The sequence below is a fragment of the Homo sapiens genome, chromosome 12 (assembly GCF_000001405.40).
Source record: "Homo sapiens chromosome 12, GRCh38.p14 Primary Assembly".
In the NCBI taxonomy this organism is placed as follows: Eukaryota; Metazoa; Chordata; class Mammalia; order Primates; family Hominidae; genus Homo; species Homo sapiens.
In genome coordinates this window covers 88,245,730-88,268,133 of record NC_000012.12, presented here as the reverse complement: position 1 = coordinate 88,268,133, position 22,404 = coordinate 88,245,730, and the positions used below count along the sequence as shown (strand labels likewise).

Below are 22,404 nucleotides of genomic sequence, written 5' to 3'. Positions count from 1 at the left end.
TGGTAGTACTGAGAACTTACACATCCTAAAATTTATTCTAGACTTAAGGTGCATATGTTGTCTCCTATTTTAGACTTACTAGCCACTCCTACTCATTTCTTTAAAATCTATTTCAAATACCACCTCTTTGGTCAATCTCTTTGTCCTCTTCCTGCAAATATACACACCTTCTCTGGCAAGCAGTACTCATTGTTCTGTAGAAGGACTCTCAGAACACTTTGTACATAACTCTGTCACATTTTATTACTAGAATTAGTTGTTACATATTCCTTTCCCACTAGGCTGTGAAATTATCTAAGGCATGGACAGCTTTTTATTAGTATGCTCATCCCCAGGGCTTAATACAAGTCTAAAACTGAGTAGCCACAGGTTAAATATGGGTTTGGTGGAACCACGCACACACAGCCAGTTTCACCACACAGTGACTATGGAATATACCAGCAGCTGCAACAGACAACATTTTTTAGCCATAAAAATTCTACGTTCAGTTCATTTATTTTTGGTCTCTTAGATCATGCTCCATGTACGTTTTATTTTCAAAGTCCTCTGTAGATTATGTTGAGCCAAAAAAACTCAGAAAATATCCACTCACTTAAATTAAACAGACTTCCCTTCTGTAAGGGCTCTTTAAGCAACTCTCAGAATTTGATGCCTTTCTACAGTTTGGGTAATAAATTATGAATTGTTTTATGAAGCAGATTATATGTCTGGATCAAGTTTTTAGACTATATTTTAAAGCACTATGATTCATTAGGAAACAGATCAACTTTAAGATACAAACAAACAAACAAACAAAAAACCGTGAGCAGCTACTGAAGCACCTTGCTGGATAAATCAAGGTCCGAGTGCCTGATAAGGGGTTTCAAAGGGCTTGTGACTAAATTGTTAAAGGAGTTCATCTTTACAGTCCTTGTAAATATAAAAGAACATATTGTGATTAAACAATGTCAAATTGACCACAGGGAGTCCTGAAGTCTTTTACTGGCATGGTTGTAGTCTGAAGTGCCCTAATTGAAGCTGCTTATTAAAACCTAACTCACTTATGGACAAGTGCCAATGATCATCAGCACATGGTGACCACTAGATTGGCCAGAAACAAGGTTTTCTTTTTCTGTATTTATAAACATTTGTTTCTAGCACATTTATTATAGTTTCCTCTGTGTAGTGTTTTTCCTGTTGTTTGTTTGCATGGAAACTATGATATTTTTGGCAAGAAGCAGAAGATAAAGAATTACTTTAGGATTACACTGATATTTTCAGCCTGGGCCACACACAGAAGGCAACACCATCAGTGACATCCTCAGCAGACAAAAAGGATGACAATATAAGGAAGGTACTGAATCAGCATTGAAGTTTAATTTAACAGTTAAAGTCTTGTAACATTTAGTAATGAAATAGTTACTCGTATTGGGAAAAATAGGGCACTCCTCATTCACTAACAAAACATCAAGGACAGATAACATCAGTTGCAATTTTAATTTCAGCAGGCTTTTTCTGTCAAAATTGACAATCTAATTTGAAAATATGTATGTAAATGTGAAGAACTCAGAATGTCCAACACAGTCATAAGAAAGAAGACTAAAGTTGGAGGGCTTATACCATCTGATTTCAAGATTTACTCTACAACTATAGTAATGAGTCAGTGTAAGCCTGGCATAAGGTTCAACAAATAGATCAGTAATCAACGGATATTTATTCAGGGTTTTTGTTTGGTTTTGTTTTCAATAAAGGCTCCACAGCGATCCAATGAGAAACTAAATTTTTTTTAGCAAGTGGTCCTACCACTAGAAATTCATATAAAAACAATGAATTCTGACCCCTAACTTATACCATACACAAAAATTACTTGGAGGTGAATCATACACCTAAATGTAAAATCCAAAATTATAAAATTCCTATAAGGTAATATAGAAATAAATATTTCTGTGACCTGAGGGTAGCCAAATGTTTCTTGGATAAAGAAAGGAATAGCTTTAAGAAAAAAAAAAGTTACTTTAGATTTTATCAAAATAAAAATATCTACATATAAAAAGACAACATAAAGAAAATTATTAGGCCAGTCATAGTGTGAAAAAATTATAAAACCAATATCTACTAATAGACTGAGATCCTTTATTATAGATATAGATATGACCATATCAAGAACATGGTAGTTTTGTTTGTAGTTGATAGGTAGAAACTAACAGAAACAGTAGTCAGGTCAATATTTGTGAAATGAAGTTTAAGTTATTGAGCCCACGTTTAGCCTCTATTCACCATAGCCACTTTGCAATGAGTTCCTTGAGCAAGCACTGGGGTGGCTGGAGAAAGAGGCATTTAACATTTGGAGACCATGTCATTTCATTCACCTAATTACTGACACTCTTCTACAGTAGATGTCATCTACAGTACGTGCCATTTGGTGAGCATTCACATGAGACACAATTATTTTTACACTAGATGCCAAATTGTGTAAGTCCATTCATTTATATCTTCTATCAGATTACCTTGCCAGCAACCTTCCAGTGCTGTTCTTCTTATCTCTGACCGAAAAACCAAACCATCAGCGATTGCCCAGAAATCAATGTAGATTCATTCTTCTGGTCATCTCTTTGTCCAGATAAGATGGACAATAAAGTCTTCCACTCAATGTCCTGTCTAGGATGAAGATATAACTGGGATGATTTCCATTTACTCTTTCACTCAGGGCCACACCTGAGAGAGACTGTCATGCTACAGCCATCCACTTGTGGTTGTTGCTAGCAAAATTATGCAGAACCATCAGAGTTTTTCCCTTTTCAGTCAACTGGTCATAAGGAGCACCCTATAAGGTCACAGGGGTGTATTGAGATAGAAAAGACAATGCAGCTGGAGCCAGTGACAAAGGAGCCTGAGCCCACATAAAATTTCCATTTGATGATAGGTTGTTGCTGTGCACACCCAACCTCATGTCCTAACGGGCCAAAAAACACCCAATACAAAATGGAAAGCTCACATCATACGGTCACTTGATGTCCCACAACTAGGCATGTAGTCTCTACCAGGACCCAGGATCACTCCAGGATTGATTTTCTGGAGAGGAATAGTTATCTGCAGAAGAAGGCATGAGTTTACCTCAAAATTCTAGAGGCCTGAGATTCTCCTGTTGGTGCTCACAAGAGGATCCACACTGCACTGTGTACTATTGGATTTGCTAGATCATGAGGCCCAGTTGGCAGAGAAGTGTGTACTGAAGACTTAACTTGCTACAGAGCCTTCTCTTGCTTTGGTCCCTATCAAAACCAGAAGCCTCATGGGTTATATAAGGTATATGCTATCTCCAAAATCCATAAAGGCCACCAAACATTGAGCCTCTGTTAGTGGGGGTGGTGAAAGGTGCAGCAATGTGTCTTTTACCTTTGAAGAGATATGTTCATAGGCTTCAAACCACTGGACTCCAGAAACATCACTGAGGTGGCAGACTCCTGAATTTTTGTGGTTTATCTCTCTCCCTCTGTTTTGCAAATATCTTGCCAATCAGTGCGATCTATGAATTGTAGTTTCTGTTTTGCAACAATCATTAAACAGTGCTATAATTGGAGTATCCTTTACCATGACCAGACTGACTCAGTGGGTAGAGTTTTACATAATTTTATGATTTTGAATGCAAATGGAATATCTTCTGTATTAGTTTCCCATTGCTGTTGTAAAAAATTATCACAAGTTTAGTGGCTAGAAAAAACACAAATGTATTATCTTACAATTCTGGAGATCAGAAGTTCAAAATGAGCTAGCAGGGCTGCATTTCTTCTGAAAACTCTATAGACAAATTCATTTCCTTGCCTTTTCCAGCATTTAAAGGCTATGCTTATTGCTTGAGTTATGTCTCTGAATCACTCCAAACTCTACCTCTGCCATCACGTGTTCTCTGACTCCGTCTTATAAGAAATTTTGTGATTAGATTGGCCCACTCAGAATAATTTCCCTTTTCGAGATTTTAACTCAATCACATCTGCAAAGTCTCTTTTACCATGTAAAGTATATCCATATTATAGGGATTAGGATGTGGACATATTTGGGGACTATTATTCTGCCTACTACATCCAAATTGAGGACTGCATGCAAAATATTTCAAAAGTATTCGAATACGTTTGTGTGGGTTGTGGGGGAAGGGTGGTTGTTGTCCCGAATTTCTCTGAAGAGCTAAGAAAATGCTTTTTCTCTAGCTGGTTGCTGACTGATCCCATGTCTGCTTAATCCTTTACTTGCCTTCAGTTACAGTTGGAAGAGAGGAAAAGGTGCTTGAGGGACATTGTGAGGAAAATGGTGTTTTACAGAAAGACAGCTTGGGGTCTGAGTCTTGGCACTGCCACTGAATAATAGGGGATTTGCTTAAGTTTTCTAACATGTAAAGCAATACAATTTTTACTGTAAGGGTTAAGTCACACGATGTATGTTAAACACGTAACACAGTATCTGGCACGGAGCATTCAACAAATGAGAATGGTTATTATAATCAGTTACTATTATTCATTTAGATTAAATGTTCTCAATTCTTAATGCCCATGAGGATCATTAACAAAATAACAAAGTCCAGAATCACCCTCAGAGATTATTATTTGATTGGTCTATAATTTTTTAAAAAGCTCCCCAGATAATTATAGTGACAACAGGGTTGAGCAAACAGTAACTTTGATAAAGTTGGCTAAGATATAAACCAACTCCTTTGGCTGTATTTACTATGAATATCATTGTGCCACATTTTCTAAAACATCTTTTTTAAAGTCATTATTTAAAAGTAAGTTTTACAGATATAATTTGATTAGAACAGGTCTGGTGAAAAGATGTCCATTAATTGCACAATACTTTTTTCCTTTCATGTGTTTGGCTTGGGAAAATATTTTTTGATTTTATCTTTTGAGAATTGATGATTTTGCTTGAAAGAAAAACTATTTTTCTATTATGAGTTCATAATATGACTGCAACACTTTCTTGCAGTTTTCAAACATAGTGTGGAAAGCAATGATTTATTTTAAAACTTATCATTTGATATTTAGTGCCATATTTTAACACAGCTTACAGATTATTTTTCCCAGTATTTTTGAGGATGTGTTGTTATTGAAAATTATCTCTATTATTTTTGCCTTGTGGCCCATAGAATGAGAATTTGTCTTAGATTATCTTTTGAAATAAAGATTATGATTGTCTCCATAAAACCAAATAAGATGTAATAAAATTAAAACAACCAATTGGTGAGGATAAAATAATCTTTGAAGGAAATTAATTGAAAGAATTGACTGGTTTCTCAGGATGGTGTTGCTATGGAAAATGTTTTAAAAATTAACAGGTTATTTGAATTTATGTACTTTTCTAAATGTAATCTACAGATTTTAAAAATAAATTTTGGTGGTATCTGGAAAAAAATGTATATCATATTTTGAGTGCAAGGTTTGGGGTTATAGTTATTTCTTTGGAATAAATATGTTAAAGATACATTTTAGAGAAATAAGTCTTTAATTTGGTTCAAATAGACTCTGACTCAGACTCATGATTAGATATCCTTGAGAGGAGCAAAATGAAGAAAGGTATTCATTAAAAAGATGCTTGAGAATAACTGGAAAAATTATGTTTCATAGCCAACTATTTTTATGTCATAGGACAAATAATGAAAAACACAATTTCTTCTTTTGAAATATGTATTTCAATATCAAGTCAAGCCAAACTAGATAAAAGTCAATGTTTTTATTGTTAGTGAGAAAACTGGATATATTTTCCCTTAGTAACATAGATAGAATGCATTGCATCCTTAAGCATTTTCATAAGTCCTTCTGATAAGAATATCATTCTAATAAATATTAAAAGAAAAATATCTCTTCCTATGTTCTTTTCTATCAATTGCTTACTGTTTACCTAAAATGTTATTTGCTGAATAAAAGGTATGTACTTCCTTTGTGAAAAGTCTTTTTGTTTTCTTATTAAAAAGTAAAGATAATCTTAGGTCTTTCCAGGCCCTTTCTGTTGATAAAGTTTTGGTAAATCAGTAGTCTGCAAAACATGATAATCATAGAGGAATAATTACACTTCTGTTAATTGTATGTCTTTCAAAAAGAAAGAAAGAAAGTTTATTCATATTTAAAACATGAGTTGATATTATATGTATAAAATTTATACGCCAAACTTTCTTGCTGGTAGTGATGCATGATCAAGAGTATGAAAAGTATAGGTTCTATAGTTCTATACCACTACAGGATGAGTATAGTATATATATTACATAGTTTCAAATAGCTGGAAGGATGATATTGAATGTTTCTAACACAAAGAAATGACAAATGTTTGCAGAGATGGATATGCTAATTACCCTGATCTGATCACTATGCATTATATGTGTCAAAACATCATACCTATAATGTACCCCATAAATATGTACAATTATGTGTCAGTTAAAAATATTTTTAAAATAATGAAATAATTTTTAAAATAAAATTTTAAGAAGAAGAGTATGAAGACTGCTAGAATTGATGCCCTTTTTATGGCTAAATCCCTTGTGAGATTTATATATCCAAATCCACAAATGCACATGTCCAAAATCCATAAGGGATATAGGATACAAAATATTGGTTGTAGAGTGTTGAATTGAGAAGAGTCTGAAGAAAGCTAAATTGCTCTAATTGCTCTGCATGATAGAAAGAGAAGAAATTGAAATGCAATGGGGTGAATGGCACATTCCTACAGGAGGTGTGAGTAAAAGAGATGAATGAGGAGAGAAAAAGAGAAAATGGAGTTTGGAAAATATTAAGGGGCCAGGCTATTACCTATGGAGGGGAACTCATTGAGACGTTTTATGAGGTGGAGTAGGCACAAAGACTTTTTAAAACAGAGGTATCTTTTACTTAATGTTAAGTTATTTAAGTATTAGTTAATGAGATCCTTCCTCCATGACTCCCAAGCCTTCAGTACAAGTTCTACCTGCCACAGCCTTGTATGAATAGATACTTAAATGAGGAAATAAAGGGGAAGCAGCCACATTCTAGTTATTGCCTAAGTAGCAATCAAGACACCAACTGTGTTTTTTGTTTGTTTGTTTGTTTTTTGCTTACTAACTGTATAAACGTGTGCACCATTGAGGCTTATCAGTCTTTTTTTTTTATACTTTAAGTTTTAGGGTACATGTGCACAATGTGCAGGTTAGTTACATATGTATACATGTGCCATGCTGGTGTGCTGCACCCATTAACTCGTCATTTAGCATTAGGTATATCTCCTAAAGCTATCCCTCCCCCCTCCTCCCACCCCTTATCAGTCTTGAAAGTCTTTAAATTGACCAGGTACAGTGGCTCACACCTGTAATCCCAGCACTTTGGGAGGCTGAGGTGGGTGGATGGCTTAAGCCCAGAAGTTTGAGACCAGCCTGGGCAACATAGTGAAACCCTGTCTGTACTAAAAATTAGCCAGGCGTGGTGGCATGTGCCTGTAGTTCTTAGCTACTCAGGAGGCTGAGGCAGGAGGATTGCTTGAGCCTGGGAGGCAGAGGCTGCAGTGAGCCAAGATCGCACCACTGCACTCCAGCATGGGTGACGACAGAATGAGACCCCATCTCAAAAACTTTTCTTCCTGCCCAGAATATCCTCTCCTGTGAAACTTGACCCTGCACAATGCCATCTAACCTATACTTCACCCTTACAGGTACCCATAAGTTACAATCCTTGATACTTTGCTTATGTCAATATCCGTAAACTATGCTAAGTATATTCTATTGAGTTACCTTCAGAATTTTGAAGTCTTTTCAGAAATATAGATATAAGGGTGGTAAAGCTGTGAGTGTTGTAGAGTAGAAAAGAAAACCTTCCCAGGAGATCATGGAGGGCTTTCTAATATATAAAAGGAAGAACACAGTCTTTGGAGTCTACCCAAGAAAACTAGGCTCAAATTCCAGCCCAGGCCCAGCACTAACCATGGAAATTTGTGCTCAACTTCATTGAGACTTTATTTCTTCATTCAAAAAATGGGGATAATAATACCTATGTATCTAGAAATGTTTAAAAAGTTAAAAAATTAATTATAGATGTACATAAAATGTCTAGCCCATACTCAATAGTAGCTGTCATTATTAGTATATATCCTTAAACCTGATAGTCTTAGCCAAAATAACATCATTCATTAACCTCACACTGTAATAGAAGTTAACGTGGGCAGCCAAACTAGCAGTGTCTTACCCACCTGATGCCCAAAGGGCCTTATCCCTACATAATTCAGCTAGGCAAGCATCCCTCTTATACATACACTGAATTTGTTTTACTCAAGCTGTTATAGTTTTCTCCTTATATATCACATTTTTTAAAACTAGAAAATAAAATATTTTTTAATTGTCCTATAATTTTTAGTTTCTTGTCACATAATCTTGTTCTTCTTTAAAATGGTTAAAGGTTGCTGGCAAAAAAAAATTAAAGACAAAAAAATTCTTTGGCAAAGACAGAAGCAAGAAAAAAGTGTAACAGTTTCTCAAAATATGTGCTTTCTGTGTGTGTATATGTGTATGTTATAGTAGGCTAATTAAGAAAAATCTTCATATAAACCAATAATATGGTGCAGTAACTGAAAAGTTATTGAGTTTTTCTCTTTTTATTTGTTCAAGTCATTGTGAGGTATCCATTTAACAGGAAGGAGATCAGAACTTGTTACTAGAGAAATATAAAAAGTTAGATTCAGCTACTAATATGCAAATGAGAAGTATGCAGTAAGTAGCCAAGAAGCAAGACTACAGTTGAGAGAGCAAGTCAAGAAAGATTATCCAAATTGCTTCATTTCCTCCACTAAAATATCAAAGGCTTGGAGAAGCCAGTCCACAGAGATCCCTACAGTACAGAGCTACTACTTTACCCATAACAAAAAAGCAGCCAAGTGTGCTATTACTTTTCTTTATTAAAAAAGTATTTTTTTTCTTTCATTTCTGCAAGACTCTGGACAAATTTACTGCTATTCAATGGCAGAAGGAAAATATGACATAAGAAAAGCAGGGGAAATGTTCATTTTCTAGATCCACGGGAGAATGCAAAGAGATAATGAGAAAGGAAAGTGTAAGATTCCATGTATGACAACTTCCTACCAGGCATAGTTTCAGAGAGAAGAAAAGGTGATTTAAGAAAGGAAGCTTACACTGGGCATGTGGCTGTTCCCAATGTCCTATTTAGGACTCTAGAAAGAATTCACCTTGTGGGCTATTCTTGCACCAACCTAGTGCTTGGCCACATTTCCTTGATATTCTATGAGACTGGAGAGAGGGGACCCTTAGGCTTAACTTTCTTAGTCGGGTTTCCAGATTTCAATGGTATAGATGAGAGTTGAGAGCAAAGCTCCTGCCATAGGGCCTACTAAAAGGGGCAAGATGACCCCCGGCAGAGGTTAGGCATTGATTCCTGGGACAACAGAGAATCAGAGAATGTGAAAGAGCCCCTTGAGTCTGCAGTCAGGAAGAAATGAAGTTAACTAAGGCCAGCAAAGTCTGGCCAAGACAAGAAACATAAGTTTATGAGTAACATAGCCTAAAGACATCAGTTTTGGAGAGTGCTCTAATTTGGGCCAGATGTTAGCCAGGCCTGCTCCACAATTATTCTAGCACTTCCTTTTCAACATCATCTTGAGAATTCCTATCACCCTTCCTGAGTTGGAACACTTGTTTCTTGAATCTCATATTTCTTTGCTTGCATCCTCATTACTTTCTGGAACCCAACCTCCACTTATTTCCTGAAAAGCGGTGTTTGGGAGGAAAATTTTTAAAACCTTGAGTATGTCTTATGTTACTTACATCTAACCCTCAATTAATAGTTGTAATTTATTTCTTAAATTCCTATTGCTGAGTGAGAAGTTGTTAAGTGAAAAAAAAATCTATTTTAATGGGGAAATCTATGATGCATTTTCCCCAACTCAAAATATGCAAATTATTTTCACAGATAGGAATATATGTCAATTGAGCAAGGGAAATATGTTTATATGTTTATATAAATAAAATAAACAATCTGAAAATAGATAAGTACAGTTTGCTGTGTAAAGCATAACAAATATTTACTGTACTTACCAAGGGGAAAAGAGTGGACTTGACAGTGGGTGGCCATTGGTGGAAGACAGTGCAAGGAAGCAATTCTTAGGAAGATGATGGAGAATTAGGTGCTCATCTTTCAGACAGGCTTTCAGTATCTAAATTAGGCATGCTTGATGATAATTTTGTTTTCTTTGAGACTTTGGCAAAATAAAAGCTAAACGTGAGAGCTCTTAGATATACATGAGCATAATGTATATCCACTCAAAAGCGATAGAAAATTATACCTCTTCCTCTGTCTCACTGACATTTGTACGTAAAACAAAATGTTTTGGGTTTGTCAACTATTGTGTGTGATTTTTTTCCACATTATATTTTCCACATCATATTTTCTATTAAATACATTTTTTCCACATTATATTTTCTAGCTAAAAACTATTGTCAGGTAAGTTGGTTTGAGCATGGCAACAGACAGGATCAAATGTTACAATAATTTTTTCAAAAATTTATACTAAAAATTTCAATGGGTAGAAAAGAAAAGCTCTGCATATGCATAAAAGTCTACCTAAATAATACTGCATGCAAATACAAACACACGTTGTAGGGTTATTTTAACAACTTTCAACAGTTTGCTTTATCTGTACTTACTCATTTGACACCTCCAACTAATATCCTGATTTATAGCCTGAAAACTTCCTCTGGGCATGGTGAAAGATAATATTTTGTCTCTTCAAATACTGAGAAAACAAATTTTCTACCTCATTAGCTTTAATATACTTTTTCTTCTCAGTCATTTTCAAGGAGAATATTATTAATATCAAATGGCCGTTACAGATAGGAGGGAATCTTTAAAGATTTCAAGGAATGGGATTAGGTTAAGACTAAATTTAATATCTTCTTGATACCTGATGTATATTGAAGGCAGGGGCTTTTTAGTACACTAAATCATAATTTTAAAAATTTCACATGTGAACATTTAATTTCTCGAGGACAAAGACTATATTATTGGTGGCTTGTAGATTTGGGGGCCCAGTATAATCATGAGTCATTCAAACGAGAGAACTTTTTCTGGCTATGGTCAGAGAGAGATAGATCTGACAGAAAGAGGATCAGTGAGATGCAGCATGACAAAGACTTGACCCAGCATTGCTGAGTTTGGAGATGGAGGAAGAGGAAAACAAGTCAAAGAATGTGGGTAGCCTTTGAAAGTTGGAAAAGGTAATAAAATATATTTTTCCCTAGAACCTCCATAAAGGAACGCATCCCTGCTCACACTTTGTTTTTTAGCCCTCTGAAAAACGTGTTGAACTTCTGACCCATGAAACTGTAAGAGAATACATTTGTGTTGTTTTATTCCACTCATTGATGATAATTTCTTATGATAGCAATAGAAAACTAACACACAAACATTAGTATATTTTATAATCTCTGCATTTCTTTAGTGTTCCAACTTTGTTAAAATAGAAATTATGCCGATGAAAATATTTTCCACGATGGAAAGGGTTAAGTAACTAAAATGTCTCAGTTTTTCATATGACAGTCTATGAATCAATAATTCTGTACACAAGAAATCTTCACTCCCAACAAGGCAAACAGCCATCTTCATACCAGTAAGCTCTAAAATTCAAAAAAGGCCTGGCACGGTGATGGTTGCTCATGCCTGTAATCCAAGCATTTTGGAGGCCCAGGCAGGATAGCTTGAGGCCAGGGGTTCAAGACCAAAATGGACAAAAAAGCAAGACTCCATCTCTACAAAAAATAAAAACTAAAAAAATTACTTGGGCATGGTGGAGTGCACCTTTAGTTTCAGCTACTTTGGACACTGAGGCAAGAGGATCACTTGAACCTAGGAGTTCAAGGCTTCAGTGAGCTATGTTTGTGCCACTGCACTCTAGCTTGGGTGACAGAGGGAGACTGTGTCTCTAAAAATTAAATAAAGTAATTAATAATATAAAATAAAATACAAAAAAAGTGTTGTTTATTGGGCCAAAAAATAATTCTACATAGCAAAGACTAACCCTTGTAATTTTTAAGAATTATGTCACCTTGTGACATGAGATATTGTATAATTGTGACATGTTATTGCATAATCCTTAAAAATTATGACATCACAAAAAATTTATCACCAAATTAATTTATCTTTGTACTAATCATAGCCATGTCCCAAATGATAAAATATTCTTAACAAGGCTTTAGGTAGTGTTTGAATAAAAGCTGTTTGTGATATGTAATAAGTGCATTTTAATTCCAAGATTTTGGTATATGAATAAAATCAAATATTAATATTCACAAACAGATATTGAAGAAAACACATCAACATCTGGAAGTTCATATCATGGGGAAAGATAGTGCAATGAAAACAAAACCATAAGAGATTAATCTTGTGGGAATGTTTGCTTCCTGGAAACCAAAGGTAATTTCCTATAAAGTGAGAAATGTGAATTAAGTACAAAAACATAAAACAAAACAACCTAACATATCCCATATGAAATGCTTAAAACATAGTATAAACTGAATATTTTCTATAACAAGGTATTTGTTAGCATACTTAACTAGAATTCAGAAATAAAGCATTAAACACATTTAGATCTTTATTCTGAAGAGCATTCTGTTAGATATTGTGAGATAATTCAGAAACCATGTCTCTGACATTAAGGAGTTTAAAGACTCTCTGGGAAGTCAAGACAAGTGCAAATGAAATGGCATAGAATTATTACGTAACAATTTCTAAAAAATGCACAATATCAAAATGATGTAGGAAAAAAGTAGGAGTAAATTATGATTAATCAGTAAAGACAAGAGGTGGGCACCCATATCCAGAAATAAATTGGGTTGCCAGGTGCATAATACAAATGGAGATGTGCTGAGAAAAATTTTGAGAGGAAAAATTTATCCCTTGGCAGTCCTCCAAAACGACTTTAATTTTCACCATTAGTCCAACCCATCAACTACTCATTTAACCAGAAAATATTTATTGAGTATCACACACCATGTTGCATGGGCACTAGTATAAGTATTTTTCTTTTTTCTTCCTTTCCTTTAGTTGAGCCACTTGAACTATGATTGTCTTCTGGAAGACATTAGGTAGAAAGCCATTATCATATCCTAACATGCAATTATGAGCCACACCTTTTTCTCTTCTCTCATCCCTAATTTTACTAAATAATTACAATTGTCCTTAGATACTTCCCAGCTGTCTATTGTATACACTATTGCCAGAGCAATCTTCTAAAATCATGATTCTCATTATCTTCTACTTACTATTCACCAGTCAAAATTTACTTGGTTCAGTGACCCAATTCTTCAGGGCTCTAAAAAAAGAGTGAAACGAAGAAAAGTTTTGACAGAATAGGAGAGGAGTTCAGGAAATGACTAGAACTTCATTACATTATGAAGTCTGTAGGTCCTGGTAAAAGATTTAAATGAGAGATAATTGGTAAAGATACGATGAAGAATGAGTGGATGAATATCTTTGAAATGTATCATCCTGTGGGCAGAAAGATAAGAGTTCAATATTTAATATGAGTATGATTGATCTGCAGATAATTATGGAGAGTTTAAAACTAAAGACAGACTTTTATCCATCAATCAATTCATACAAAGTAGGTAAATTCGTACCATAAGAATGGAGGGGCCAAACGCGGTGGCTCATGCCTGTAATTCCAGCACTTTGGGAGGCCGAGGCAGGTGGATCACCTGAGGTCAGGAGTTTGAGACCAGTCTGGCTGACATGGTGAAACTCCATCTCTAGTAAAAATACAAAAATTAACCAGGCGTGGTGGTGCACACCTGTAATCCCAACTACTTGGGAGGCTAAGGCAAGAGAATCACTTTAACCCGGGAGACAGAGGTTGCCATGAGCCAAGATCGTGCCGTTGTACTCCAGCCCGGGCAACAAGAGGGAAGCTCCATCTAAAACAAACAAACAAACAAACAAACAAACAAAAAGAATGGAGGAGCTTCTGAGAAAGATAAATGTTAAGGGAAAGGAGCAAGGAACAAGGAAGTAATTTCTGGAAATCCCTGAATGTGGATATTAAACAAAGAAGAAACAGGATTAAAGGGAGAAATAATAGAAGAAATGAATGTTATAAAATGTGTTTAAGGGCTTCTTAAAAAGTTATATTTTATTTGCAGTCAAAGAATTTGTGTACAGGATGATGTAACTAAAATAAAGTGTTCAGTGAAATTCCTCCTGATTCTCCTTTGGATCAGGTAGATTTTGATATTAAGCAGGCTAAATGGTTCCAATTTTTCTTTTCTGGGAATTAAATAAACCAGAGCTGCTTTTTTGACTGTTTATAAAAGAAGAAAATGAGCTGCCAAGACACAGTTAATAATATTGTGTATGTTTGAATTTGTCACAGAGGAACTTTTAACAAGTCCTAGAATGACATCTTGTTTTTGCATACCCCCAGCCAAATAACTTCCCAAATTTCTTACTCTTAAAACAGCTCATAAGTATAAGCTGGTAGCCAAACTATAGCATGAGCCAAGAAACATTGCTTATTAAGCCACTAGGACAAACTGAGTTGCTTTAAGTGATTTTACCTACTGAATCATTAAAATGAACCATAATAATCCAATCTTTTTATTTATGTTGAAGTAGCTAAAGGCTAAAGGTGTTTTAATTTATCAACATGAGTTTATATAGAACTTGACTATGAAGAAAAACATCATTTTGGGATGCTATCCAAGAACACAGATCCTACATGAAGAGACAGGAAGCAGAGAATGAAAAAGCAAAAGAAGAAAGTTTATACAGTCTTCCAACTCTTAACTTCCTATTATATAAGTGTTTCAGAGGTCCATATGCCCAGGGATGACATATACTGCCAAACCTTTATCCCTTTCCAATTGCCAATTGATCATAGTCTTCCTTTCTCCTGAATGAAGATAAGCCAACACAGAATTCCAAGCAGCTACTACCAATTGATAAGTTAGCATGTTATTCAAAAACGAAGTGCCATTTCTAAGACATACAAAAGTTTTTCAGAAAAAGAGTTTGAAAGAGGCTTTTTTTTTTTTTGAGACGGAGTCTGACACTGTCACCCAGGATGCAGTGTGGTGGCACAATCTCGGCTCACTGCAGCCTCTGCCTCCCTGGTTCCAGTGATTCTCATGCCTCAGCCTCCAGAGTAACTGGGATTACAGGTGTGGCCACCACACCGGGTTAATTTTTGTATTTTTAGAAGAGAAAAGGTTTCACCATGTTGGCCAGGTTATTCTCAAACTCCTGGCCTAAAGTGATCCGCCCACCTGAGCCTCCGAAAGTGCTGGGATTATAGGCATGAGCCACCATGCCTGGCCTGAAAGAGGCAATTTTATAACATACTTTCAGAATACTATATGACCATAGGTTCATAATCCATAATTAAAGAGAGCAACACAATATTATCTATCATCCATTTCCATCCATCCTTCCATCCGTCTATTTTTTGTTACATCTCTTAGCACAGAGGCCCGTGAGCTATTGCCTTAAAAGAGCTTTAAATTGTCTGTTTGAACTTCATTCAAATAATTAATTACAGTAAATCCTAATTACATGCAAAGAATATCTGGTTACACTTGTGCTGATCTTATATTGACTTTATTGCAAACTTTTACAAATCTCTCCTTTATTCCATTTAACTCGCAACTTCTTCTAGTGCCAAATCCTTCAACTCCTAAGAGATAGGGAAAGCATAGCTGCCATATATGTTATTTGTATTTATCTGGAATAAATGCAAGCACATGGTCTGCAGTTGCAGAAGGTAGGAAGACAATGGACAAATCACTTAGAAATATTCTTCAAGGACTAGGCACCATGGCTCATGCCTATAATCTCAGCATTTTTGGAGGCCAACGGGGGCAGATCGCTTGAGTCCAGGAGTATGACACCAACCTGGGCAACATGGTGGGACCCCATCTCTAAAATTCTTTTAAAAAAGAAAAAGAAAAGAAAAATGTTTCAAGACAAAGCTTGGAGAGCACTAACTTTCTTAGGGAACTGGAAAGTCTTCAGGGAGGAGATTTTGTTTTCAATGAAAGAAGGCTAGAGGTTCTTCAGCAGAAGAGAAAAAAAGGGTTTGGCATTTTTTAAAAGTATTTATAAGGCCCATGGGATGCAGAAGTGGATAATGAAATCAATATTGTATGGTAAGACTAGATGTGAGATGATTTTGGATGCCAAGTTCAAGTGTTTGGATTTTTATAAATAAATAAAAATGACTCATTAGAGGTTTTTTTAAGCTGGTAGTGAGTACAGGATCAGATGTGGAGTGTAGATGAGTGTAACCTTATTCTTTTTTTAATTTTAGTTTTTCCTGCTTTTCTTTTTTTGATTATCAGAAAATACCTATTTATATTTGAAATTATAGAATATAGATAAGTCATACCATGGAAACTAAAAGTCACCCATAATCCCATTCATTCAGAGATTAATATTTTGTTACTTTTTTCATGAGTTAGGATAAATATAAACATACACATAATATATGTATAGTATTTATATGCAATTATACCTTCTAATGAATTCTTTTATGCATATCTTTTTGCCTCTTTCACCTGATAATATACTGTAAACCTCTTTCCAGTAAATTCACATAATTGTCAATTTTTCAGTATCATAAACAATGCTGAGATAATGTTTTTTGTATTCATATTTTTACGTATTTATTTCATTATTTTTCTAAAATGAATTCACAAAGATGGAACTGTGGATCAATGAGTTTTCATATTTTATACCTTATGATTCCATTTTCTTATTATTCCCTCTAAAAGGCTATATCCATTTACATCTCAATTAATATTTATGAGAATGTATGTTCCTCCCATGTCTGCAACATTTTGTGCTACCATTTTAAAATTTTTGACTATTTGTGAGAAAGTTCTCATTATAATTTTATTTTGTACTTTTTGATTACTCCTGAAGCTAAACATATTATATACTTATGGGTCATTTGTTTTACATCTTTGGGGACATTGTTTATTGAATTCTTCTGTTGGAATAATTATTCTTTCTTTTTTATTTGCAACAATGCTTTAAATATTAGGTGAGTCAACTTTCAAGTACAACATATATTTTACATATTCTTCTGGGTTTCATTTTATTTATAATGTTCCTAAAATGCAAATTTTTAATTTTTAGATAGTAACGTTCATCAAGATGTTTGTCAACTTAGTGATTTTTGTCTTTTATGTCTTAAATTAATTTTGATGAATAACGTGACAAAGAGCTTTAAACAACCATCTTAACATCATCTACTTAAAATTAGCTTTTCTTTATGAAATTAAAATGCTACCTTTATCATGTTTTAAATTGTAAAAGTCAGTAGAGCAGAGTGGGTAAATTCATTGCACTTAGCATAACAGAAAACCTCTTTTTACCACTTTGATCTCCTCAAGTCTTAACTTCCTTAAGGGAGAGAGATGAAAATAGTACTAGATTATTATATTAAATAAGATAATTCATTTAAAGCACTTAGCACAATGCTTGGCTCACAATAAGCATCGGTGCATGATACTGTTGTTATTTTTATGTTAGTTTATTGTTCTGGGTTTTTTAAATTATCTTCATTGATTATTGTGTCTATTTTTGTACCCAAGTCATAGATTTAGTTATTTTGTAACTTTAAGTACTTTTGATTATCTGATAGAACAGTTTTATTCAATCACTCAAAAATATTTGTTTAGTCTCTTCCTTACCTTTAAATGGTTAGGATATAAAGATATATGGATAACCAATTCAGTACTAGTTCCTAATCAATTAAACATGCAATCACATCTTACTGAGGATTTAACCAGGTTGTCAACATCAAAGTATTTAAAATATCATTTACTTTTTGTTAGATTCTGAAAACACCTTGGTCTAATAGCAATATGCCATTAGCAACATATTAAATCTAGTTTTTATCTACTAATGGCTAGTCTCACCCATCTTTATATCAAGCGCATTAATTTCAGTGTCAAAGGGCAAGTGTTTCATAGTCTTATGCCATTACTCTTCGGTATAGCCTGTAAGATTGGAATCTTGTCCTCTTGTTGGATCTTTAAAAACAAAAACACTTAAATGACATCACTTGACACATAACACAAAGCAAATGTGTTTGCTAATAGATTTTTGAGAAGAGGAATTGAACATTTAAATTTGTCAATATTTATACAGACTACCCAAGAGAGACTGATAATATAAACAGGAAAAATGCTTCATGTTTGAAAAGAAATGGACTCGGAATGAAACAGACCTGGATTTCGAACCCTGGTTCTATTTATTCCCTAGGTAAATAGGACAAAATTATTGTAAATTTCCTATTGCTGCTGTAATAAATTCTCACAAATTTAGTATCCTACAACAAATGTATTCTCTTAACTGTTCTAAAGATCAGAAATATAAAGTCAAGCAATTCCTAGGGCTATATTTTTTCTGGAGGACTTAGAAATGTTTCCTTTCCTTTTCCAGCTTCTGAAGGCCACTGCATTCCTTGACTCATGCCCCCTTCCTCCATCTTAAAAGCACGTAACAACCTCTTTCACTGTCAGTTTCCTTTCTGCTTCTGACATTCCTGTCTCCTTCTCTCTCTCTGTCTCTATCTCCTTCTCTCTCTCTCTCAATCTGTGTGTGTGTGGGTCTCATAAAGATCCTTGTGATTACATTTGGCCCACCTGTATAGTCTAGGACAATCTTCCCTTTTCACAATTTCTAACTTAATCACATCAGTAAAGTCCTTTTTGCCACATAAGGCAGTGCTCCCCAACCTTTTTGGCACCAGGAACTGGTTTCATGGAAGACAATTTTTCCACAGACGGGTTGGGGGGATAGCTTCCGGATGACTCAAGTGCATTACATATATTGTGCACTTTATTTCCATTATTATTATATTGTAATATGTAATGAAATAATTATATAACTCACCATAATGTAGATACAGTGGGAGTCCTGAGCTTGTTTTCTACTACTAGACAGTCCCATCTGGGGGTGATGAGACACCGTGACAGATCATCAGGCGTTATAGTCTCATAAGGATCATGCAACCTAGATCCCTTGCATGCATGGGTCACAATAGCGTTTTGTGCTCCTATGAGAATCTAATGCCTCTGCTGACCTGACAGAAGGTGGAGCTCAGGCAGTAATGCAAGCAATGGGGAGCAGCTATAAATACAGATGAAGCTTCACTCACTTGCCCACTGCTCACCTCCTGCTGTGCTGCCTGGTTCCTAAACAGGTTCCCTGGAGGTTGGGGACTCCTGATATAAGGTAACATATTCACAAATTCCAGGAATTAGTATGTGGACATCTTTTGGGAGCCATTATTTAGCCTACCACAATCATAGTACTAGAGGAACTCATAACAACTGGGGAAGATACTGAAATGACTCATGAATTTATTTACTGACATCTAGCTTGCTACTTTTATAAAGAGGGTTTATTATGCAGGTGCACATTTTGGGCATGTGTTAACCTCTTCACCTGTAAAATAGAACTAATAGAACTACTTACATATAGGGATATTCTGAGGATTAAATAAGAAGTTTAAAGGGCTGTTACCACCCCGTTATAAAAGAACACTGTGGACATTGCACTAAAAAGTGACTCTTTTCAGTGCAAAAAAGATAAATACTTTTGTGCATGTGTGCAGCACATTGGCATTCCATTCTAGTCACATTATAGTTACTTCAATTAATTTGTATGCTTAAAGAGAGAAAGAGAAATAATGTAAATAATCTCTGCCATTTCATTTGTCATTCCACCCAATGAGCATGTGAAAGTGACTATGAAATGTATTCCTTAAATCTACTTTTCCTATGGGATCAACTGTTTAAATAAACGTATTCTTTCAGATATTATTGCATTTATTCATTTACATACCTATTTCTATGCTGTGAAGGCAGTATGACAAGAACTTAGCCTAACACAATACCTTGTAGTTGGTGCTCAGTATATGATAGCTGTTATTATTATGCAAATAAGTATTTCTTTAAAGATAATGAGGGTTCACCAATAAACTGACAACATATAATGAGAGAGAGCAGGCTAGTGGAATGAACAGACTTCAGAGTCAGTTACATCTAACTTCAAATCCTGAATTTGCCATGAGTTGTATTCTTAAAACTTTTCCTTTAACTCTCTAAACATCAATTTTGTCATTTCGAAAAAGGAAATTAAAATTATATCTCTTTAGATGTGAGGATCCAATGAGAAAATATACTTAGAGCTCCTCGAATACTGTTGGTCAGTGAATAGTAATTATTATTATTTAAATAAATATTTTCTTAATTAAAATATATTTAGCAAACAACTTTCTGAATAATGAATATAGTTATCATAGATTAAAAGATACAATTCTTACAATTCTGTCACCTAGGTTTCTGAAACATATAAAGATCTGTGGTCCCTTACAAACTGTTTATTACTAATAAATTTTCAGTATGTGTCCTAGTCAGGCTATTCATGATGACATGTAAGTGCACATACACAAACATGGATGTAAAACTTCCAATGTACCTTCAGTGATGGAAGTTTATTGTAAGAATTCAAGGGAATATGGAGTGGCACAGTTCTTAGTGTTAGCAACAACATAGTCATCTTCACGTTCCAGATCTTCTGAGACTGGAAAATGCAATAAACTCTACATATAAGTGGCTTAATGTTTTTTCATTTAACAACTGTGGTTTTATTAAATCAATTTCTCTATTTCACCAAATATTTAATTTGGCCAACTTGCCAAGCCACAGTAAAGAAGTCTGGATTTCTTTTCGCTGAGTCATTGTCAAGTTATCTCTGACTCCAGTACATCTTTGACCCAGACTACACTAAAAGTCTCAAGGCCTTCTTTGCCTTTTTCTGCTTATAGGCATGAGGGCTCCTTTGGGCTCTTTTCCCACTGGCCTCTGTGTGGAAACTCAGGCTTATACTTCTATGCCTCATCATGCCAGCTATGCTTTAAAATAATGACCCTGTCCTCTGAACTATACCTTGCTCATACTTGGCTGTTCAAGACTTTCAAAGACCTCAGGAGTGTTTAGATGCGATCACGTATGTAAACTATCTTGGAAGAAAGATAAGAACAAAGAAATAATGATGAAGAGTAAACACCCTAAAAAGAAAAAAGCACCATACAGAGGGGAGAATTACTTTTAAAATACATTTTGCAGAATTACAATCCTTTATTCCACTCTCCAAAATCTCCACAACCCACCACAATTGCCACACTATGTGCCAACACTAAGTACATCAATTCTGGGAAGGCAGAACCATATATATTGGACTTGAAGACATGGCCTTTACGACCATTAATCTATTTCCTTTTTCATTTTTAGTAAGTTTTTTTTTTTTTTAAAGAAAACCTGGTTATCCATCTAGCATCATGTTCTTACCTATAGGTAATTGTTACCTTTTCAGCATTTTACCCTTATGATTTCCTTAAATTTTTAAATTGCAGTTGATGTTTGATTTTGTTTGAAAAGAAATCTAAATGAGTTTAGGAACTCATGTGGATACCTGAGAGAACAGCATTGAGGAAGAAAGGCTGGGAGGGGCAAAGTTCCCCTGAGGTGGGAGTTCAGCAAGGAGGCTGATTGAGCTGGAGCGAAATGGATGAGGAGGGGAGAGGTAGGAGGTCAGCCAGGAGAAGAATCATGTAGACCTTTTGAAGCACATTAATCAGGTAGACTTTTTAAAGCACATTACTTTTTGTATATATTCAAAACAGAATACAAAATCTAGGGCCGGGAGCAGTGGCTCATGCTTGTAATCCCAGCACTTTGGGAGGTCAAGGCGGAAGGATCACTTGAGGTCAGGAGTTCAAGACCAGCCTGACCAACATGATGAAACCCTGTCTCTACTAAAAATACACAAATTAGCCAGGTGTGGTGGCTTACACCTGTAATTCCAGCTACTCTGGAGGCTGAGGCAGGAGACTTGCTTGAACCCAGGAGGTGGAGGTTCCAGTGAGCCAAGATTGTGCCACTGCACTCCAGCCTGGGTGATGGAGTGAGGCTCCATCTCAAAAAAAAAGAAAAAAAGAATACAAAATAACAGCCCTGGTATTTCCTCCCATTATGCAATCTTATCATTCTAATCTGTCTTTAATTAATCTCAGATGGACTCCAGAAAAATATGATGCTTTGAAAGAAGTTTTTATTGGATTACAAACCACTGAAAATATATTTAAATTTTTAAGAATTATGTACTAGTAGATTTTATTCAATTTCATTTGAGAGGATACCCAATTCCAAAGACAATTGGACCGATATTTTTCTGTTCATCTATCATGTTCCTCTACTATCAGATTCTGTGTCTTTTTTATTTGGAGAAGGCTGCTCTAATTCAGACTTAGATCATCTCTAATCAAATCTAATGGGAAAAGAGCAAGATGCTTTTTCTGGCCTGTCCTAACACCTTACTAATATTGATTGTGTCACACTCAAATTCC

At 35.1% G+C, this 22,404-nt stretch overlaps 1 annotated feature.

Moving 5' to 3' along the window:
* Positions 19,195-19,395: a silencer, noted in NCBI's record as "peak1868 fragment used in MPRA reporter construct". NCBI's record gives its function as "represses an SCP1 promoter by STARR-seq MPRAs in K562 erythroleukemia cells {active_cell/tissue: K562}" and the evidence as "EXISTENCE:reporter gene assay evidence [ECO:0000049][PMID:32103011]".